The sequence below is a fragment of the Homo sapiens genome, chromosome 7 (assembly GCF_000001405.40).
Source record: "Homo sapiens chromosome 7, GRCh38.p14 Primary Assembly".
NCBI lineage: Eukaryota > Metazoa > Chordata > Mammalia > Primates > Hominidae > Homo > Homo sapiens.
In genome coordinates this window covers 86,923,440-86,944,399 of record NC_000007.14, presented here as the reverse complement: position 1 = coordinate 86,944,399, position 20,960 = coordinate 86,923,440, and the positions used below count along the sequence as shown (strand labels likewise).

General features: G+C 35.4%; 1 protein-coding gene across 10 annotated transcripts in view; it reads left to right on the top strand.

The window, feature by feature from the left end:
* The window catches only part of ELAPOR2 (endosome-lysosome associated apoptosis and autophagy regulator family member 2), a 182,749-nt gene that overhangs the window by 115,255 nt on the left and 46,534 nt on the right, over positions 1-20,960 (top strand). For 9 of the 10 annotated variants that reach the window (XM_011515918.3, XM_011515921.2, XM_017011843.2 and 6 more), the window contains 6 exons: positions 2,296-2,382; positions 4,285-4,390; positions 5,440-5,592; positions 6,186-6,274; positions 17,484-17,664; positions 18,744-18,872. In XM_011515918.3, the coding sequence (XP_011514220.1) occupies positions 2,296-2,382; positions 4,285-4,390; positions 5,440-5,592; positions 6,186-6,274; positions 17,484-17,664; positions 18,744-18,872 (745 nt within the window). Of the gene's footprint in view, positions 1-2,295; positions 2,383-3,014; positions 3,049-4,284; positions 4,391-5,439; positions 5,593-6,185; positions 6,275-17,483; positions 17,665-18,743; positions 18,873-20,960 lie in introns of all 10 variants that reach the window. The other variant, NM_001291991.2, reaches the window with a different exon arrangement.

Sequence of the window (20,960 nt, the reverse complement as noted above, 5' to 3'; positions counted from 1 at the left end):
ATTCTGTGAATTTAGTACAGTCTAAAAACATCAATGAATGGGATACTTGATGTCTTTGAAAAGAAATTAAATAACATTACGGAAGATAAGATAAAGTAATCATCTAACAAAATAAGCTGTTACCACTAAAGTTACTTAACCATTAGTAATAAACAGTATCTAATCTAGCAAATATTTATCATGACACAAATGCTTGAGCAAATGTTCTCAGATTGACTTCTTATACCAAACCAAGTGTGTGTTGTGCTTATAGATGGGAGACTATCTTGAAAAATGTTTCTGCAGTCCAGATTTCAGAAACAAATGTACTAAAAATTTTAAAACAAATTTGTATTGTTGGAAATGGGAATTTCTAAATCAGAAGTTTGGTAGCAAGAGAGATTTTTCATGGAAATATGAGCTTTAGATTTGAAGTCAAGAGATTCTGGCTCTAGTTCCAACTCTGTAATTGTTAACACTGTTATTGAGCAATTAAGTGAACCTTCCGGCACTAAGCATTCACTTCTATAAAGTAGATTATGTGACAATATCTTTTAAGGAGTCTCCTAGTACTAATATCTTTTGATGAGTTTAAAATGTTAAGCAACATTCAAACAGATTTATGTTTAACCTGCATTTAGTTTGCAAAATCCTTCTGAGAGTGAACAATTCCCTGTTTCATTGGATACTTTTGGCAACATTGCTAAAACTGAAATAAAGTTAAGAAGCAAAGCAGTTATCTAATTGTGAGAATAAGTGTTTAGATTTGTATTGCCCAATAAGTTCTTTGAGAGATGTCAATAAAGGTACCCTTAAGGCATAAAGTTTCATTAATTCCTGTCAGCGATGCCTTTGTTCTGGTTATAATCTGAAAAGGGATGGCAAATTCATGTTCCTTCTTCTATTGATGTTTCAGCTTTAGAGGTTGCAATTTATTGACTCAGAAGGTCAAAACTTCATGGTCATCATACTAATGGTTAATGGAAAGAAAGTGTTTGTAGATTGAAATATGCTGTTCTCTGAGAGTTGTACATATGGGCATTGCATAATTGACAGCAACAAAGTATTTAATTTTGGAACTATATGAAACTTTCATTCAGCCCTTCTATTTTTTTTTTTAAATGATGATGAAGCTGAAGCCTAGAGAGACTAAGTGATTAGACTTAGGTTTTACAGGTCTCCAGAATGCCAGTAGAATGTCAAGATAACATATGACGTCTGCTTTCAGTGATAAAAAAAGCTTTCAGTTTATCTACACGTTGACCATTAAAGGTATATTCAGGGTCCACATCTGCTTTTAAGTAGCTTAACACTTGCATTAAAATGGTCCTTATGCTTATAAAGTGAATATGACACTTAAATTCAATTAAAGTAAGTACCCTCAGTAGCTGATATTCTCTGGTATTTGGATGGCAATAGGGTCTATATTTTAGTTAGTAAGTCTTTAGGGAATAGCTCTTAAGGAGAACATTTTAATATTTGTAAATTGGTTGGGAAGAGGAGTGAAGAAACAAAATGATTTAGAGATGAAAGGAAGAACCATTTCTTTTGGTGGGAATATAGATGATGAGATCTTATTTTAACTCTACTCTGTTGCTGTTTTGCAATATTGGAAAGGTGGCCTAACTTTTTGATGTCTCTGTATTCATTGTAGACCTGGAAAAGTAGTGTCCCAACCCCTTGACATTTTGGAAGAATTGCCTGGAAAGCAAAAGGTGTTTGGTGTTAAAGATATCTGTAATCATTTGAATTGGCATGGCAAATGATTACCATTTACCCCCAAATAAAAATTTGGAACTTTGACTTTGGCCATAGCCACTTACTTTTGCATTTGGATTAAGTCCTAGGGAATGGAAAACAAAGTGGACTTTATTTATTTTTAATTTAAAATTTTACTGCTGCAAATATTATAAAGAACAGCTTTGTTTATTTTTATACTATTGGGCCTGCATGGTGAATGCAAGCTATGAAAAAGTTTGGGTAAGTTGGGTAGTTGTTTTATACTTTGTCTCCTTTCTGTGCATTGTCAGTGTTAGTCACAGTGTTAGTGTGCATTGTCAGTGTTCTCCCACATTCCTCTCTCTAATGAGCTAGGCTTTTTGTTACAATGATGAAGATAGTTTACTTAGAACCTCTCAGTCTTATGCAGTTGTCACTTAGGCTCCAGAGGTCTCGGTATGTTTACTTATTGAGAATTACTCATGGCCATTGTTTAGAAGGTATTGAACGAGGTTCTTGCAGTCTGTGCTGGGTACAGAATTTAATTAAAGCTGTTATTCAAGACACTTTACTAGGGCTCTTGTGTTTAATCCACAGATTCAAAATGATCAGTGCCAGGAGATGGACACCACCACTGACAAGTGGGTAAAACTTACAGACAATGGAGAATGGGGCTCTCATTCTGTAAGTCTCTTTGTATTTCCTTCTTCTTTGCCAATTTTTCCTTCTTCTTTTTTTCCCCAACCTTTTCTTCTTTCCCAACTTCCCCTTCCTTTCATAACGTTTTAAGAAAAGTATATTTTAAGAAAAAATATCAAAATTAACTATTAATTTAGATGATTTCTGGTTACGGAAAAAATTACCCCTAGCTTCATGGACTCAGCTTTCAATTTTCAGGGTCTTTTTCCTACCTTTTTCTTTCTTCTTAGTTTCCTTTTCCTTCCCCTTCCCATTGTAGTCTAATTTTCCTCCCTTTCAAAGGGGCATCCATGAGAAAGAAGGCTGTTCAAAACTAATATACAAAACATTTGAGTTTCTAAGTTTACAAATGTGCCTGTCATATGTGATCGAATTAGTGGCTCTTTTCATTGGAAGGATCTGTGAATTCCTTTTATCTTTCTCTGCGCTGTGCCCAACAAGTGATATTCAAGCTTGTTTTGTTGGGTACTGTGCTGTCTCCATTTGTTGGACAGCTCTGTTTATCACAAAATATCTCTTTGGAGCCTCAACCTGCCTCCTACCTATTTGCCACACATTGGTTAAAATTCTACCTTCTCTGGTTACATGAAGTAAAGTAACTGCCTGCTTCCTTACAGGACAGCTCCTTAAATGCTTGAAGGCAATTACCAGGTAACAATTCAGTGAATCTGTTATTATTTGAGGCACCATCTCTTTGGAGTGAGAGAGACATGGATTTAATATCTAACTCCGGTTTATAGTTGTGTTTCTTTAGGCAATTTGCTTAATCTCTTTGTGTCTGATGTTTTCATTTGCAAAATAGGAAAAATCTTGCATGATTAAATCAGAAGATATGTGGGAAGGGCCTAATATAGTGCCTACAATATAGATCAAGCTCTATTTCAATAAGTGACCATCAATCCTTGTCTTTGTGGTTGTAGCAGGTACCTCATCCTTGGGTGATTAATACAACATACCCTTTCAGAATATTTTTAAAAATCTGTATACCTGAGAATAATATTAATAACATTTAAGATCCGTATACCTTAACACCCAGTCAGCTGGGCTTTGAAGGTACAAGTAACCCTTAAAAATAAATATACTTTTTTTACTTAAAAAGGCTTAATACAAGGGAAAGTGCTTAATGCACTACTTTTACTTAATGTACTGCTTCACTGAAATAGTTGGGTGGATTGTAATTTTATACAGCTTGAATTTGTCCAGCCAGAGACTGTATAGAAGAATAAGGGGGGTAAATAAGAAAGCAAGGAACTCTTAAAATTAGTTCACTTACCTGTATGAACATGAAATTTATGAGAAAATTAGTTTGATTTTATAATTAGCAAAATATTCCAGTAGCAAAGGAAACCAATACTACATATAGTATTATTAATGTTCTAGAGTAAGAGAGTTAAATCAGATTATCCCTAAGAACATTCCTATTTTTTCTTGTTACTGTAGCAGTATTTTTATTAAATATATTTTTAAAAAGAAACAAACTCATTCTGTTGCCTTTTGTTTTCAGAACTCAAAGATCTTATAAATAGTGGCAACTTATAAATATACAAGTGGGCTGAGGGACTTTCACCCTCTAAAATGGATTCCTTTTAAATATAAACTAAGACTTCATGCAGATGGTTTGAGAATCATTTTTTGTGTTTGTTTAGACTTGAAGATTTCTTCTTCTTTTCTGTTTAATGTATTTTGTGGATTAGCAAACTCCATTTTTTTTCTTTTAAGAAAGTGTAAACTTCAGCGGAGGTTAGGTCAGAATTAACAGTGGACTTAAATCTGTGGGTTTTAAATTAATGGTGTTTTATTATATGGATTGAAAAAGTATGTAAGGGAGTAGCTTTTGGAAATGGCATGGCTTATCTGCCCTAAGTGCCTTTATGTTTCTCTTTATAGGTAATGCTGAAATCAGGCACAAACATACTCTACTGGAGAACTACAGGCATCCTTATGGGTTCTAAGGCGGTCAAGCCTGTGCTGGTAAAAAATATCACAATTGAAGGTATTTCATGGCATTCTGTTTTAGTAGTCACCAGTCACATCTTACAGTTAGTTAAAATATTTATTAAAGTTTTGGTTTGGCTGGCTCAAAGATTTATAGAACAGAAATTAATATGTTAGGGAATCATATAGGTCTGGAGACCCTGGTTTTACTCCCAAGAAATCGACAGTTGTTTTCTTTTTTTCTTGTACCCTTGAACTAAATTATTTAATCATTGCAAAAAAAGTAAACATGATGACAATTTTAGATGTCTGTAAACAAAAACAAAATGTCTCTGTGTTAATAAGACCCCATTATTCCTCCAAGAAATGTCTGTTGTGCCAGACATTGGGCTTACCAGGGAACTGATGACCTAGTCACTGCTATATCCATAAAAATAACAATAAACATCTTGACCTGACTCTTTCCTAAACCTTTTATGCTTCTCTGAGCCAACCGGGTAATTTCTGGCCCAGGAGAGCAGTCGGTGAACCCTGGCATGGTTCATTCTCAATTAGGAGTATTTTTCATTAAAGCAGTGATTCTCCTTTATTAAACTTTGGCTTACGTTTTAATATGTTCATTGTGGGCTTGTTCCTGTGAACAATGTGTTAACTCATTAGTCACTAGGACATCTGCTGGCAAAGACTGGAATTACAAACCAGAGGAGAAGTCAAGCCATTCCTAGGTCTTACCTGTGACTTAATAAGCAGTGGAAAAAAAAGGGAACAGGTTACCATAAGGATCAGATAATTATAGCCCTATAGAATTGGAGGGAACCTTAGGGTTTATCTCATTTTTGAGTTAGTGGAGTTGTCTTTTGACTGCTCAGTTAATACAAGTATTATACCTCTATGAAATCTTCATCTCTTATTTGTTTGCTGACTTGATTGTGCAGTTCCTTGTACACAATAAATGCTTTCTTAGTGCTGGATGAATAAGATAAAAGATTTGGGCTGACCTTACTGTTCATATATCTCCCTCACTTCTGGGTAGAAGCAGAAGTAGGTGCTGATTTGCTTATTGGTATTGGGTCCCCCTCCCATGCTCTGTTTTTCATTACTGCACAGGGGTGGCGTACACATCAGAATGTTTTCCTTGCAAGCCAGGCACATTCAGCAACAAACCAGGTTCATTCAACTGCCAGGTGTGTCCCAGAAACACCTATTCTGAGAAAGGAGCCAAAGAATGTATAAGGTGTAAAGACGACTCTCAATTTTCAGGTAGAACTAGTTTATACTCTGCTTTTTTCTTTCTAAATGTATGTTGGTCAAGTGTACATTTATAAACCAGAAGTCACCCATAAAGTATGACAGCAGTGGTGCCTGAAACCAAAGTGCTGGAGTGAATTGATGTTGAATGGATAAAATATGACATCTTATCCGTTTCTGCATGACTTTCCCCAGTATAGGTCTGTGATTTGTTTTTCTATTCCACACCCCACAGGTAGCTGCTATGGATATGTTTATACTAATCTAAAAATGTTTATACTTTTACATGATTTGTTGGTGTAGAGACGTATATAGAAACTTTTAATTTGTTCCAAATTTCCAATGTATAGTGATGATGGAAGAAATCTAATATCTTCTGGGAAAAACTGTGATATACTACTCCATGTGTATCATAGAAACACTTATTGCTCTAGGGAAAATAAAAATGTAGGCATTTATTTTCTTTAGACCTAGGTAGTTCTACCTAAATTGCCCTGGTAAGTTTATTTGTACTTTTTAGTTGCTTTTTCTGTTTTGCTTTTTTGCCTTTTCTTAGAGTTGCAAAATAATTGACCCATTTCTGAAACGCTTTTTTTATGTTGCAGAGGAAGGATCCAGTGAGTGTACAGAGCGCCCTCCCTGTACCACAAAAGACTATTTCCAGATCCATACTCCATGTGATGAAGAAGGAAAGGTACCAGCAGTGTTGCATCAACTCCATCCCATATTTTTGCAACCTTCTTTCCAATTTGAGCAGACTCTAATTTGTTCGTGAGAGATATTTATGACACACGTATGTAAGTGTAAAGAGGAAATTTTAGAGTTTAGGGTTTGAAGTCTGCCTTCCTGGCTTTGAATTTCACATATACCATTAAGTCCTGTGGGCAACTTATTTGATGTCTCTAGGCCTCAATTTTTTTATTTGTATAATATGGATGATATTGGCACCTACTTTATAAAGCTGCTATAAGAACATTCAAGATATTTAATGTAAAGTTCCTAGCCCAGTGCCTGTCACATAGTGCTCAATAAATTACTGCTACTTTTAACAGTTACATTTTTTCCAGAAGTAATAACATGAGAGAGAGCACAGCCTTAAAATGTGTAGTGTGACTCACAGGATGGAAAGTTCTTATAACTTCTCTTTAATTATTTGGTTACTCAGTATGTTTTGTCAGTAAAAACCATGCAGCCATGGGCTATTCGGTTATGGCAGATTACTGTGTAATTGCATTGAGAAAATGCAAGTAAGTACCATATAAATGGCACATAGCCAGAGGAAAAATGCACACATGAGCTCTGCAGTTGACCTGCTCTCCTCTTAATTAAAGAATTAGCCTACAGCAGCCTGTGTCAGTGAGAGGAAACTGAGATCAAAGTGGCTGCTATGGAGCGTTGCTTCTTTATGTTTGCATCTTTGAAATAATGACATTTATTTTCTTGACTTAGTTTGGAAAGCATATATAGATGTCAGGGAATTTATTACTTTCTTCTCTTGTTTTTGCATCCCTAGATTCTAATCTAGATTGTTATATTAATATTATCTTAGGTCCTTAAGTTTTTTTAAGGAATATTACTTTGAATTGTTAAGAGCAAGTACATTCTAGTTTAAATTAGTGGCAAATTGCAATGATAAGAAGTACAACTATTACTTTCAGTAAGAACAGTAACTCAAACTAACAGCTGTTAACTGACAAGGAGTTGTAAAGTAAGGTCCTGATAGTCCTATCATAATGCCAAATAAGGGCTATTTTTTAGAAAATATATGCAGAGAGGTACCATTAAGGTGAATTGAAAAGTAATTTGGATTATGTTTGTTTAGATAAACTTTTCTTGGCTAAACCTGCCTTATTAATAAGTAAGGCAAAAGTCAATTTAGTTTATTTTATGTAATAATCAGTTCATCGTTACTGAGGGTTAAAGGAATGGGATCTAATGTAAAATAGGATCTCGTCTTATCTACAATGAAAATATGCAAAAGCTGTATTTTTATTAGTTAATTACATCCATGAGTATAATGGCAGTAAGTAGTGTGACAAAATCTGTTTGACCTGGGCCTAATGGATGCAAGACCGTATATTAAATGTATATGCAGAATACGCACATATGCATAGACACATATATGTATATGGGTGTATGCACAGGCATGCGGTGTACACACATACACACAAATTATGTTTTTCTGTTGTGTCTGAGTGAAATTTGAACATGTTCTTGGTATAGAAGAAAACAATGTGCTAGTACTTTATAAACTCAGTGTTTTTTTAAGAAAAGTGATTTAAGACATTTCAAGATAAATGTTTCTAGCTTCAGAAGTAAAGCAATGGGGACTTAGTGAAATAATATATGTAATGAACTTTAGATTGCATATGTGAATTTGAAATTTTTTGTGGTAACATTTTCATTTGTTTGGTTTCATCTTTTAAAATGGCATTTTAGTGGGGTAAAGTGGCATGCACCTGTAGTCTCAGCTACTTAGGAGGCTGAGGCATGAGGATTGCTTGAGGGCAGGAATTTGAGGCTGCAGTGTGCCATGATGGCACCTGTGAATAGCCACTGTACTCCAGCCTGGGCAGTGTAACAAGACCTGTCTCTTTATATAAATACATAAATAGATATTTTATTCTTGCTGAGAATAGCCTGGTGATTTGCCAGTGGTTTAATGATGTTTCTCGGGTTGTTCAATGACTATGTTTTGGTTCTCTCTGTCCTGTTATGTTCTCTTTGATCTTATTTTGCCCTACTTGGAGAGGATCGAGTTGATTGACAAGGAAATCAGCTATTGAGGCATATAGATTCCAAACATTACCATCGACATGACATAGGAGTGTTACAAGTTTTCTGTATTTATTTTGAATCTTAGTTTAAAATAGATTGCTTAGATTTCTTTCTGCCTGTGGGGGAAGTTTTTCAGGAAAATTTTAATTGGTAATTGAAATTATTCTAATCCTAATTAAGAGATTCTTATAAACATCATGAAAAATGTGGAATGGCTTGCTCATTCATACTTTTAGTAAATCTTTACTGAGCACTGGTTATTTACAGAATACTGGGTAAGGAGGGCAGAGCTAAGGATAGAAGAAAAACGTAAATTTCTCCATAGATGTAGAGCAGTGGCTGTCAAACATTAGTGTTCATCAGTCTCACCTGGAAGGCCCTGTCCCAGATTTTCTAATCTAGTAGGTCTGGAGGAAGGCCTGAAAATTTACATTTCCAGGAAGGTCCCGGGTAATTCTGATTCTGCTGGTCCAGGATCTCAGCACTTAGAGAACCACTGGTCTAGACTCTAGAGGAAGAGATAAACAGTCAATCAAATAAAATGAATTATTATTTCCAATTGGGATTAGTGCTACAGCAGAGAAGTTTGAATTTTATGAGGTTCTTACCCAGTCTGGGAAGGCCTCAGTCTGTTTTTAAAACTGGGCAAGGCCAAGGAAGGAGAGCATTTTTGATAGAGGGAGCGGGATGGTGAAGACCTGACATGGGAAGGAGCATAGTGTATTTGAAGAACTAAAAGGATGTGTGACTAGAATGTGGGGATGTGGGCAAGGGATTGCATTAGGTGCAGTTAATGACATAAGCTATTGCTAGAAAAGGCATGGTTTCATAGGGCCATATTAGGAATTTTGGCCTTTGTCCTAAGAGCATTTAGAAATCACTGCAAGTTTTTTGGTATCAGAGTGATGCAATGTGATTGGATTTATACTTCATATAGATCCCTTTGGCAGTGTTTTATATACAAGATTAGAAGGGGACTAGAGAGGATATGAATGAACACTTAGAAGTCTCATAATGCCCTTCTCCCGGTGAGAGAAGAAGGAAGTGAATGATGGTAAAGGGAATAGACAGAAGAATATGGATTAGAGAAATAGGAAGTAAAATTCACAAAATGTGATGGTTGATAAGATGGAGGGGGAGGAAAGTGTTAAAGGTGGGTTGGTAGAGGTACTATTTGGTTAGAGAGAAGGTCTGGAGGCGAGGAAGGAAAGACCATGAGTACAGTTTTGACCAAGTTGTGAGATGGGGCAAGAGGAGATATTGGAAGGGCCATTATGTACATCAGTCTGGAGCTCAGTAGAGCATCTGGGCTAGCTATGTGAATCTGAGAATTATAGCAAATAGCTGGCAATTAAAGCCTTGGGGTTGGGTAAAAGTTTGCAGGGAGATCATAGAGTGGGCTTAGAAGTAAGCTAATGCTAGGAGAGATGAACAGGGATGGTGCCTGAGGAAAATGGCTGGAGAAGTGGGAGAAACCAAGGGAGTTACTGCCATAGAGTATTTGCAGAAATTAGAGTGGTTAAGAAGGCTGATACTCCTGAACAGTCACCCTAGATGAGGGCTGAAAAGTATCCATTGGATTTGGCAACATTGAATTAAATGGTGGCTTTAAAGAGCCATTTTAAAACATGGAAACCAGGTTGAATTGGGTGAAGAGATACAAGGATTTAAATCTTCTAATGTATACAGTAAGGCATTCTCTCACCAGATATTTGTGGGGCTTACTACATATCAAGTTGTGTAAGGCACTATACAGATGCAGAGAAGTAAACAAACATGGAGAATTACTAGGTATTCTTGGCCCATGCTTAGGTTATGAAAGTCTCAAGGAGACAACACATTTTTATATGACATTGTTCCCGGTGGTAAATAAATGAGGTTTCCTAAATGTGGCTTACTTGAATTAAAGCTTAGTATATGCAAAACAGAGATGTATAACATAGATAAATTAAAGAATATTCACTTCTCAATAAACATTCACTACAAAATTATCTTAAGTACTGAGTTGAAATTTTTATGTATGTTTTGTTTAAAACAATTAGTGCCCACTTCTTACATAAAATGAGGTACACTTATATAGGTGCACACAAGCACATATACAAATTCAGTGTTTGATGTTTGAACTCAAAAGAATACTGATCAGGGATTTTACCAACAAACCTAGTCCCCTAGAAGATGGAATCTTTCCCTGTTGAGTGTCATGAAACAAATACATGAAGCTGAAAGTGAATGTCAAGCAATGCAAGCTTTATTCGAGGGTCATGGAATTGAGAAGTGGGAGCATGGCTCAAAAATCAATTTCTCTATTAGTGAGGGGTGAGGGAGTTAAAATATAGGATTTCTCTAATGAAGGGGTTGGACATGAAAAGCAAGGGGAGGAATATTTATGTGTTTTCCAGAAATCGGCGGTAAACATCCTGGAACTAGAGTGCTGCCTTCCTTTTTGTCCTTTTATGGCTTCTTTGGGCCATTGTCATGGCCATTGTCATGGCACTGGTGGGAGTGCCACTTAGTATGGAAATAAAATTGTGAGATTATAACGAAACCTGAGATCCTTAAAGTCATTTGGTCATCTATCTTGGTTCTAACCAGTCTCAGCTGGTCTGGTTACAAAGGGAACTTTTTATCACAGGCATCCTGTTTCTTAAAGATAAGCAGAATTAGGGCAGGGTGGAAATTCAGCTATATTATGTAGGTAACAGTGACACTGGGCAAGAGTTAAGAGAAGATGTGTTTTAATGTTAGCAGGATATTTGACAGAGCATCTCATGATTTCCTTATGGATAAGATAAAGAATTGTAGACTAAATGATATGGTTAAGTGGATATATGACTAATTGAAGAATCATACATAAAATGTTTGATTTGATAAATCAATATCAACTTGGAGTATAGTATTGTATATATATATATTTGATATATTTATATACATATTTGCCATAGGAATATAAATATAGCAAGTCATTTATACATACTGTAACTCACACAAAGAAGAATATAAGTCAGATGAGTTATTTTCAACATTTTATTTAAAAATGATTAACTTCATAAAGACATTAAGAATATGTATATCAATTTGTGAATCAATAAAGATAAAAATGATATAATTAAGATTCAGAAAGACTCCAGTGTGTTTGAACAATGAGCTCAAATTAGTAAAATCAAAATTTATTTGTGTGAAAGAAACTCTCAGATATAAAAGCACTGAGAAAAGAGAAAATAATTACTTGCAAAGAAGATTTCCAGGGAAATCCAAGCTTTAAAAGACCTAACTCACCAAATAAAAAATGCGACAGCTATTTAAAGTGGGGAAAATCCTTCCCCCACAAGAATACAAAGAATAGTTTTCAATTAAGCTGTTCATGGTTAAAAACAGTAAGTTTCTCATTTGTTTATCATATCCACAAAAGTTGTCTCATATCCACTACAAAAGGGAGTGGAGAAAAGGTTGTTTTTGTTTGGGAGCTAGTAAACAGAAAAGACTTAAGATTTTATTTATTTTGGGTATTACACTGAGGCAGAGTAACCTGTGCAGTGTTTGTCTCCCCCCGCCACCCTCCTATTGTGGGACATGATTCACATGTTTCCTTTCAATGGGTGCTTGGGGATGATTATACATTCTCTAGTAATGAATTTTAAAAATATGTTTCAGAAATTGGATGGGAGCCCTGACTCAAACCAATGTAAAACTGAGGAATGGAGAGGGGAGGAGGCAGGAGCCTGTTGACTCATTTAACTGGGAAGTCAATATAGAACAAATTATTTTAAGATGTTCTCTTGCTGTGTAATGCTAATATTCTTGGCTCAATTTGATTTCCTTCTCAGGCAAGCCCTTTCCGGTGTTGCAAGATGCTCACTGTAATCTCCACCCAAGCCACTAGTATCCTCACAGCTCTTGATACTACAAACACTGACTGAAGCTTCGGAAAAGACTCTGATTGGCCTTGCTTGAATCATGAGCCCATAGCCAACCAATAATTCTCTCCAGGAGTGTTGGATACTTTGATTGGATGTCTTAGTTCACCTGCAAATTCCTGTAGCTGGGGAGGCCAAACTGTAATTCTCAGTTCCTTTCAGCATCACACAGATCAGTTCCCAAAGAGAAAAAGATGGTTACAGTTACCAGAATAAAAAGAGAATGATTTTTCACAGGTTCATAGAAATCATATGCTCTTAAATATCATAAATAGGTCTGGCAAGATTGTCTTGGTATACTGAGAATTTTCATGGAAATTTGCACATACCTTCTTGATACTTACATAGTGATTATAGATTAAAAGATCACTTTATCATAAATACTTAATCATTTCCATTACCAGATTCTCAGCTTCCTGTATACAGGGACTGGTTCTTACTCATTAAAAAAAAAATCTCTAAGCCTAGTATAGTACCTAGCACATAGAAGGTAGTGAAACGTCTGTTGAATTAGTGAGACTTAGTAAATGAATGAGTAATTATCACATTTTGAGTGCTGTGTTCTGTCTTTGGCATACGGTATGAGAAAATTTTGACAAAAGGGGAAGAATCTAGAGGACAGAGGCCAGGATATTTTGTATAAAGTATGATTGAAATATTTTTTTCAGGTAGAAGGAAAGACAGCAAAGGATGGAAAATCATGATCATCTTTGTGATGTTTTCTACTTGTCTTACAGAGATTTGATATCTTTCCTTTGGGCACTCATGGCATTTTGTGTTTCTTTTGGAGAAGATGATGATGAGACAGTAACGGTAGTGTTAATACCACAAGCAGCTATCATTTCCATATTTGTGAACGTACTCTCTTCATATGTGCATGTGTGTGTATATATATGTGTATACATATTCAAACATTGCCTCTAATTTCTTTCAACATTTGTGTAATTTAGACATTCCTGTACCCAGTTTTCAGATAAGAAAACTGAGGCTTAATGAGGTTAAGTAACTTCCCCATGATCATAGCTAGTCATCGCTAGTCTTAGGTCTGGAATTCTAACTCAAATAGTCTGTTTCAAAATGTAGTGCTTTGTATCCCCTTCATGTTTTTCAGTTTTTACGTTATAGTAGCTGTGAACCTGTCTTATCACTATTAGACTACAACCTTTTTCAGAGCAGTTTGCCTAATTCTTGAATCTCCCATGGTACTTTGTCCTGTGCATAGTAGGTACTCAGTGAGAATTTCCTTAATAGGGTATTTCAAGTATTTGAAGGGAAATTTTAGAAAAGAAGAACTCTGGTGAACTTAGAGAAGGTAAATTCCAGTGGGATGTAGTGATGTTCTAACAAACAGAGCTGCCCAATACTGGAATGACATGTTTTTTCAATTAGGGAACTTTCTGCTGATGCTCAAAGAGTGCCTGGTAGGGAGGATGTTTTAAAAGGGAGCCTTCTTCGAAGGAGGCATTAGGCTATACAACTTCTTCATCTCTGAAGAGGTGAACTGCGGATCACAGAGATTTTGCTAGTGGCTTGATATTCAAATGTCTTATATTTTATTTGCCTTTTAATGACCTTCAGTGTTGCAAATTATTCCAAATGCTCAATGTCTGTAACACAGTACTTCTAAATTATATAGCAGGACAAAGATATAGAGGATATTAAAAATAGGGTATAAAGGGATTCAGTTTTTAGATCTGCCTTTCTGTGCACAGGATTTAAGCAAGTCAAATGTACTTAGAGCTTATGTTTCTTAATTGGGAAGATGGGAGAACATGGAATGTCTCAGAGACTAGGGATTTCTGAATTTGTTTAAAATAAAATTTTTCTAATAGTCTGTTTTTAACACTTTTTTTAAAGCAGCTTTATTGAGATATAGTTCTCATACCATATCATTCATTCATTCATTCAATGAGTATAATTCAGTGTTTTCAGTATAGTCACCACAATTTAATTTTAGAACATTTTCTTGATTAAAGCCCTGAACTGCCAGTAAAATGTTAAATTTCCATGGTGTCTTCCACATAAAGGCAGAAGATGGTCAAAGCTGTTAAGTATTTAGGGGATATGTTAGTCTGTTCTCACACTCCTATAAAGAAGTACCTGAGACCAGATAACTTATAAATGAAAGAAGTTTAATTGGCTCACGATTCTGTAGGCTGTACAGGAAACGTGGCTGAGAAGACCTCAGGAAACTTATAATCATGGTAAAAGGGGAAGCAGGCATGTCTTAAATGGCCAGAGCAGGAGGAAGAGAGAGAAGGGGGAGGTGCCACACACTTTTAAACCAGATCTCATGAGAACTCACTATCACAAGAACAGCAAGGGGGAAATCTGCCCCCATGACCTAATCACCTCCCACCAGGCCTTACCTCCAACACTGGGGATTACAATTCAACATAAGACTTGCATGGGGACAGAAATCTAAAACATATCAGAGGAGAAGGAGGTAAACACATGGGAAAAGAGAAAAGCAGCAAAGCCGTCATAGAAAAGGAAGGTAGGTGAATGCTGATATGTATTTGGGCAGGCTGACGACCTACTTAACACAACTGTACATGTTGAGCATGGCTTTGAAGGAGGAGTCAGATACAAGTTGGCAGCATGGTGTGGGTAATTCCAAGAGAGACAAATGATGAGTGCCCAGTGGCTTGCAACTGGAAAAGATCAAGGTTTGAGACAGCCTGGGAGATAAGAAATTGCCTGCTTGGCTGAGACCACCTGAGCCAGAACATCATGGAGCACAAGGCAGTTAGGTTAGGGTCAGTTGGTAGACCTTTTAAAAACACATGTAATTTAGCCCTGATGAGTTGAGCCAATTTATAAAGACTTAGTGCATTTGTGAAGTGACAACTGAAATAAATCAGACAACCATGGACAAAGCCAGTCTCAAAATTTGCCTAAATTGTAGTCCTCCCAGTTCTGAGTTCTGTTTTTATATGAGAATCAGCTTTCAGTTGATACCTCTGTGTGTTTTTAAAAATGTGGTTTTTTTTTCATGCTGTATATGAATGCAGACACTGGATCTCTTTTGTAATCTTAATAATAAACTGGTAAATTTTGCTTTATTAGGGTTTTGGTTTTATAAGACATTTCATAGTTTTATCTCAACTTGCCAAAGAATGAATTGATTATTGGTTTTTCATCTGCACTGGAAGCCCTCTGGTTCTAAGTATTATTAATATTAATTATTATCTTTACCTAGTCAGCCAGACTTGAAAGCATCTGTCTCCATTAGAAAGAGAGGCACAGAATCAATCTGCCATGTGAAACAAGAGGCTTTGTAAATAAAACTTTTACTATAGAGCATTTGAAATTTGATTTCTACATTTTTAAGTATTTAAAAGTGGTGTATATTTTTTAATTTTTAAGAAGTTTGCATGTATTGAAAGTCATGTGGTTAGCTGACTTCTCACAATATATTTGCATATTTTATTATTTTTACCCTTACCAAACTGACTCTTGTTGACTGGTGTTACTTTACCATTTACTAGTTGTGTTTGACTTTTGGGCAAATTAAGAGCTCTAATCTGGAGTGTTTCCTCATTTATAAACTTGAGGATAGCAATACCTACCTCTCAAAGTGATTAAGAAGATTACATAGTACAGGGTGTCAGCACCGCCCGCCACTCCCACCTGGGAACCAACTACTTTCACTAGTGCAGTAGCTCACACATAACGCAATCCATTTGTATTAATGTCAAAATAAATCAGCAAATTAGGGAATTAAGTAGGATTTGAAATTTGTTTTCTATGCTTGTTAAACCAGAATTTTAAGAAAGTAATCTCTCCAATATGATGATGTTTCATTTGCTTAGATTCTCTGAATTTTATATTGCTTTTCTTAAGGGGAGTTGAGAGCCCCTTTATTTTTCCAATTATTTAGGAATCCCCAGCAGGAGCAGCCATTATTTTACAGATGGTAAGAAAGGCAGGTGTGTGAAGTGGCTGGTTAAAGTGTATCATGATGCAACTCATAAAAATGAATATGGAAAAAGAGAGTTGTAAAAAGAAAAAATGTTATTTATAACTATTTTGAGACATTTACCTTTAAATCATTTTCTTAAGCCTCCTTCTTCAGATAAGTTAATCTACTCTTCCATAAGAATACTTGAGAATAAAATTGGGTAGCCTAAAGGAGTTATTATACATGATTTTCTACTAACTGGAAATAGCTATGGACAATCGCCTTTAATTTTGATTCCCCAGCTTTAATAGCAGACTTCCTATTGCAGAAGTTGTTTTAAAGGAGAAAAAATACTTTTAGCAGATTATATGTTTAAGAAAAGGAACTTTTAGTCTCTTTTAAAAATGCTGCATTTAGTTATTAAATAGTTGATTTATTTTTATGTTTGCATTTAGAATTCCTTTTCTGTTTTCCTCCACTGAACATACCAATTTTGTTTTCGAATGGCTAACCCATTTGGTATCTCTGGTTTAAAAATGAGAATAAAAATTTGATAATAATGGCTTTTGGGGTTTGACTGAGTTACAGCTGTTTTCTTATATTTTGCTTTGTGTGGGGGTGAATGAATGAGTGTGAGAGAATAAAAGGGCAGAGTTTAAAAGACTGCTCTCCTTGAAGGCAGAGGTTGTCTTAATCATGATGTTCAGAGCCCATGGATCAGGACCTAGAAGCCTCTGGGGTAAACATTTTAGCTACAGCTCTTGTAGTCTAACATCAGGTTATTGAAAAAGACTCCGAGAACCACTACCAATATTATGAACTAGCAGGATTGAAATGTGAATCTTGATATATTCTTTCTGAAAAATAACCTTTTTGTGATTGCTATGTGCAAAGCATAATGAAATGTGCTGTTGGAGGAAAGGAAGAGGTTAGTGGAAGTCTCAAAATGAAAAAGCAAGTTGCTGCGTAGAAACTTATGTCAGCTATGGAATAAAGTAAATGAATGGATAGAAGAGTAAGGGTGATAAACAGGTTACCTACATTTTAAAGAGTTATTTCATGATGAGGAACATGCTGTGTACGAGGGAAGGCCACCTATAGCTTAGGGTAAAAGCATTTGGAAGTAACAGTCATTTCCCCACCAATGTTCTCTCTTTTCTCTCATTTTGTCACTGATGTTTTAGATTCTGTCAGCTGGCCCTTCTATTCTGTCACCATTTGTACTTTTCCTATACTGCCAGTTTAAGATTTTTGTTATAAGCATGTTATATGACTTGGTTGCTTTTTTTTTTTTTTTTTTTTTGTAGACACAGATAATGTACAAGTGGATAGAGCCCAAAATCTGCCGGGAGGATCTCACAGATGCTATTAGATTGCCCCCTTCTGGAGAGAAGAAGGATTGTCCGCCTTGCAACCCTGGATTTTATAACAATGGATCATCTTCTTGCCATCCCTGTCCTCCTGGAACATTTTCAGATGGAACCAAAGGTAGGATGTCAATTGGTCCAATAACTGGGCCTTTAGCAAAATGATCTTGTTGGACTACTGTGACCATTTTCTAAATTGTTTTTATGGAAAGTGGTTACAGAATTTCTTTTAGTTTTAGTAGACAAAAATTGCAGTCAACTGTAATATTTTAGTTGCAGATAGATGGCTTGAATATAGCCATGTTGTATACTTACTATCCAGAGCCTTTGAGAGATAGCATAAAAAGGACTCTGAAGGCAAACTGACTTGGATTTGAATCTATGTCCCCCATGCTACCAATAGTGTGATTTATCCAAGTTGTTTAAACTTTTTGAAGCTCAATTTTCTTGTCTGTAGGATGGTGGATAATATCTGGCTCATCATCATTGAGAAGGACATTTAAACATGCCTTCTGTAGTACTTTTGCAGCAGGTATAAATGTTTGTGAAATATTTTCTTTCCCTACTCCTTTTCTTACTGATGTGATGATGCGAAGTGGCTACATTTCTAAATGGTTGGAAAAGACCCTTCTCTTTCAATTTTGCAGATGTCAATTTAAATCAGGCTTATTTATAAACCCAGCACTTTCCCAGCCCCTCAACACCCAACCATTCTCAACATAGTCAATATTTTGAATTTGAATTAATCAGTTCATAAATGGTATTAATATTCTGTTAAGTTGAATAACCAATAGGAAGAGTGAAATCTTTCTTTATTCATAAGGTGGAAGAACTGATTCTAAGGTCACATGCAGGAGAACTTGAACTTGTTTCATAGTTACTCTTTTTATGGAGGGTAATTAAGTATTAGCAGCTACTCCCAGATGTGAAGGAAAAAATTATTTTTAAAGATTTTGTTTCTGTCCTTTTCCTTTTTCATTTTAGTCAAGTATATGTATGTATGTATAATATATCTAGAATTTTGTTCTTTTCAGATTTCTTTTGAAAAAGTTAGTACATCCTGAGGGAACTGGTAGTCCAATATCTTTTTTTTCCACTTCTCTCCCTGCTAATTGTAATGTAGTGTGTTTGGAACAGAGAAAGTAGAAGTTGTCCATATGCAGTTTAATTTTAATTGTTGACCCTACTTGTCTCCTGTAGAATGTAGACCATGTCCAGCAGGAACGGAGCCTGCACTTGGCTTTGAATATAAATGGTGGAATGTCCTTCCTGGCAACATGAAAACTTCCTGCTTCAATGTTGGGAATTCAAAGTGCGATGGAATGAATGGTAAGTTCAAAATCAGCCTACTTGATGTATTTCAGCAATAGAGACATCATTCATTCTTGAACTTAGCTCTCTAAAACATACCAAGTATGGGTATGAGGAACTTCAATCTTATCATTTGGCTGCTTGCCCATCTTCTGGTTGTACCATAAAAATAGTAAATGTGGTGTCACAGCCAGGTGACATTCATAGAAGAACAAACTATTAATTTTGCATTTTTTTTAGGCAGTATTGAAGTAGATGCTGAGAATCATCATTTATGGGTATAAATGCCAGAATAGATTTACCAAGGAGGGGGATGAAATCTATGTTCTTTACCATTTTAAAGAGTAGCATGATGGGATTTCTGTCTTGATTAGTCTGGCTCAGCACTGTGCCCTGGTGAGGGGTTAACTAACTTCAAATTCCCCTTGCCTGTCAAGTCTATGATTGTATTTACAAAGTATATATGAATTCTACCTATTGAAAATTTGAAAATGTGGCAGAGTTCTACAGAACAGTTGTTGATTTGTATTTGCTCTTACCTTTTAAGTGCCTAGAGGGCTTGGAATTTACTTGTTCTGCAGTATGTGATGGTTGAATGAATATATGTATTTTTAAACTTTATGCTACGGGTAGGTATTGTATATACCAGACCTTTACACTAAAATGCATCCTTTACTTATAACCTCACTGGCATTTTTTATCTGCTCACTTTTCTCTATATTATGTTTAATTATTGTAAACACGTATGTGTGTGCTTTTTAACACATACGTTTTAAATCAATATCTATTCAAAAAAAAAAGCTTGAGTCATAGGAAGTGAGGTGTATACATGAGCACAGAGATTGACAAATAATAGGTTTTTGAATAATGTTAAACAGATGAGTGAAAGAGGAAAAGACAAAGCCTCAGTATATATATTAAATGTGAGCTAGTCTTCATTATTGACCAACAATCCCACTTAAAAAATCCTCAGAGAGAAGAAGAATAAGATATAATAGCTGTTACTTGACCCTGAAGGTTTTTTTTTTCCTAAAATGTCCTATAATTGAATTTTAAATTGAGAAAATTAAGTCCTATTGGGAAAATAAGATTGGGAAGGCAAGGGTATAGAATAACTCTATAAAAGGACTAATACATTTGTGTGTGTGTGTGTGTGTGTGTGTGTGTGTGTATTCACTTACTAGTAAAGATTACCTGAAACTTTAATTGGATCTTATAGAGGACTTATTCATAGCTTAAACTCTGGAAATACTTGATTTACCCACTTGCTTACTCATTTACTGAGAGTCTATTTTTAAATTTTGCTTAGTTTTCAGTAATGATCAATGATTAAATGAAAAGTATAAATCTCTGCAGTATTAGTGTGTGGCATTGAAATGGTAAACAGTAATGTAAAAACTACAAAGATAAAAGGTGATGTATATTTTGTGACTGGCTGGTCCAGTAGCCAACCTTGTGAGGAGCAGCACTCACAAGAACGAGGGTGAAATGGAGAGGCACAGGGGCAGCCTGTCCCCTGGGATAGTCACCCACTAAGGCATGGAGTTAAAGCAAGTGTGCTTTGCCCAACTTGACTGTATGATTTGGAGTGCTTTGAGATTCATGTAGTCTTGGTCTGATTTTCACACAGTTACAGAACAGGTATGTAGAAGCAAATCTTCATGTGCTAAAATTTGCCTAAGAGGAATTCAAAGCTGGAGACAAGTAGTTTTTATTCATGAAGATGTTCATTGGGCTTTATCTATAACAACAAAAATTGAAATAATTGAAATATCCAAAAATAGGATAATGTTTACAAAAGTTATATTACCCTAATGGAATGAAATATTATGCAATCATTATGTGCAAGTTGTACAGAAAACAATTTGGCAAAGTTTCAGAAATTTAGAAAGTTCCTATTCTCCAAGCCAAAAATACCACTTATGAGGATTATACCAAGGAAACAGTGTGATGTAAAGAAAAATTATGCACAAAAAATATTAATTTTAGAGTTATTTATAAGAGTGAAAAATAGGAGAAAACTAAATTTTCAATAATGGGGTATGGTTAAATAAAATTATGATATAGCTATGTAACATTGTTAAGTTATTAAAATTAGATGTGCAG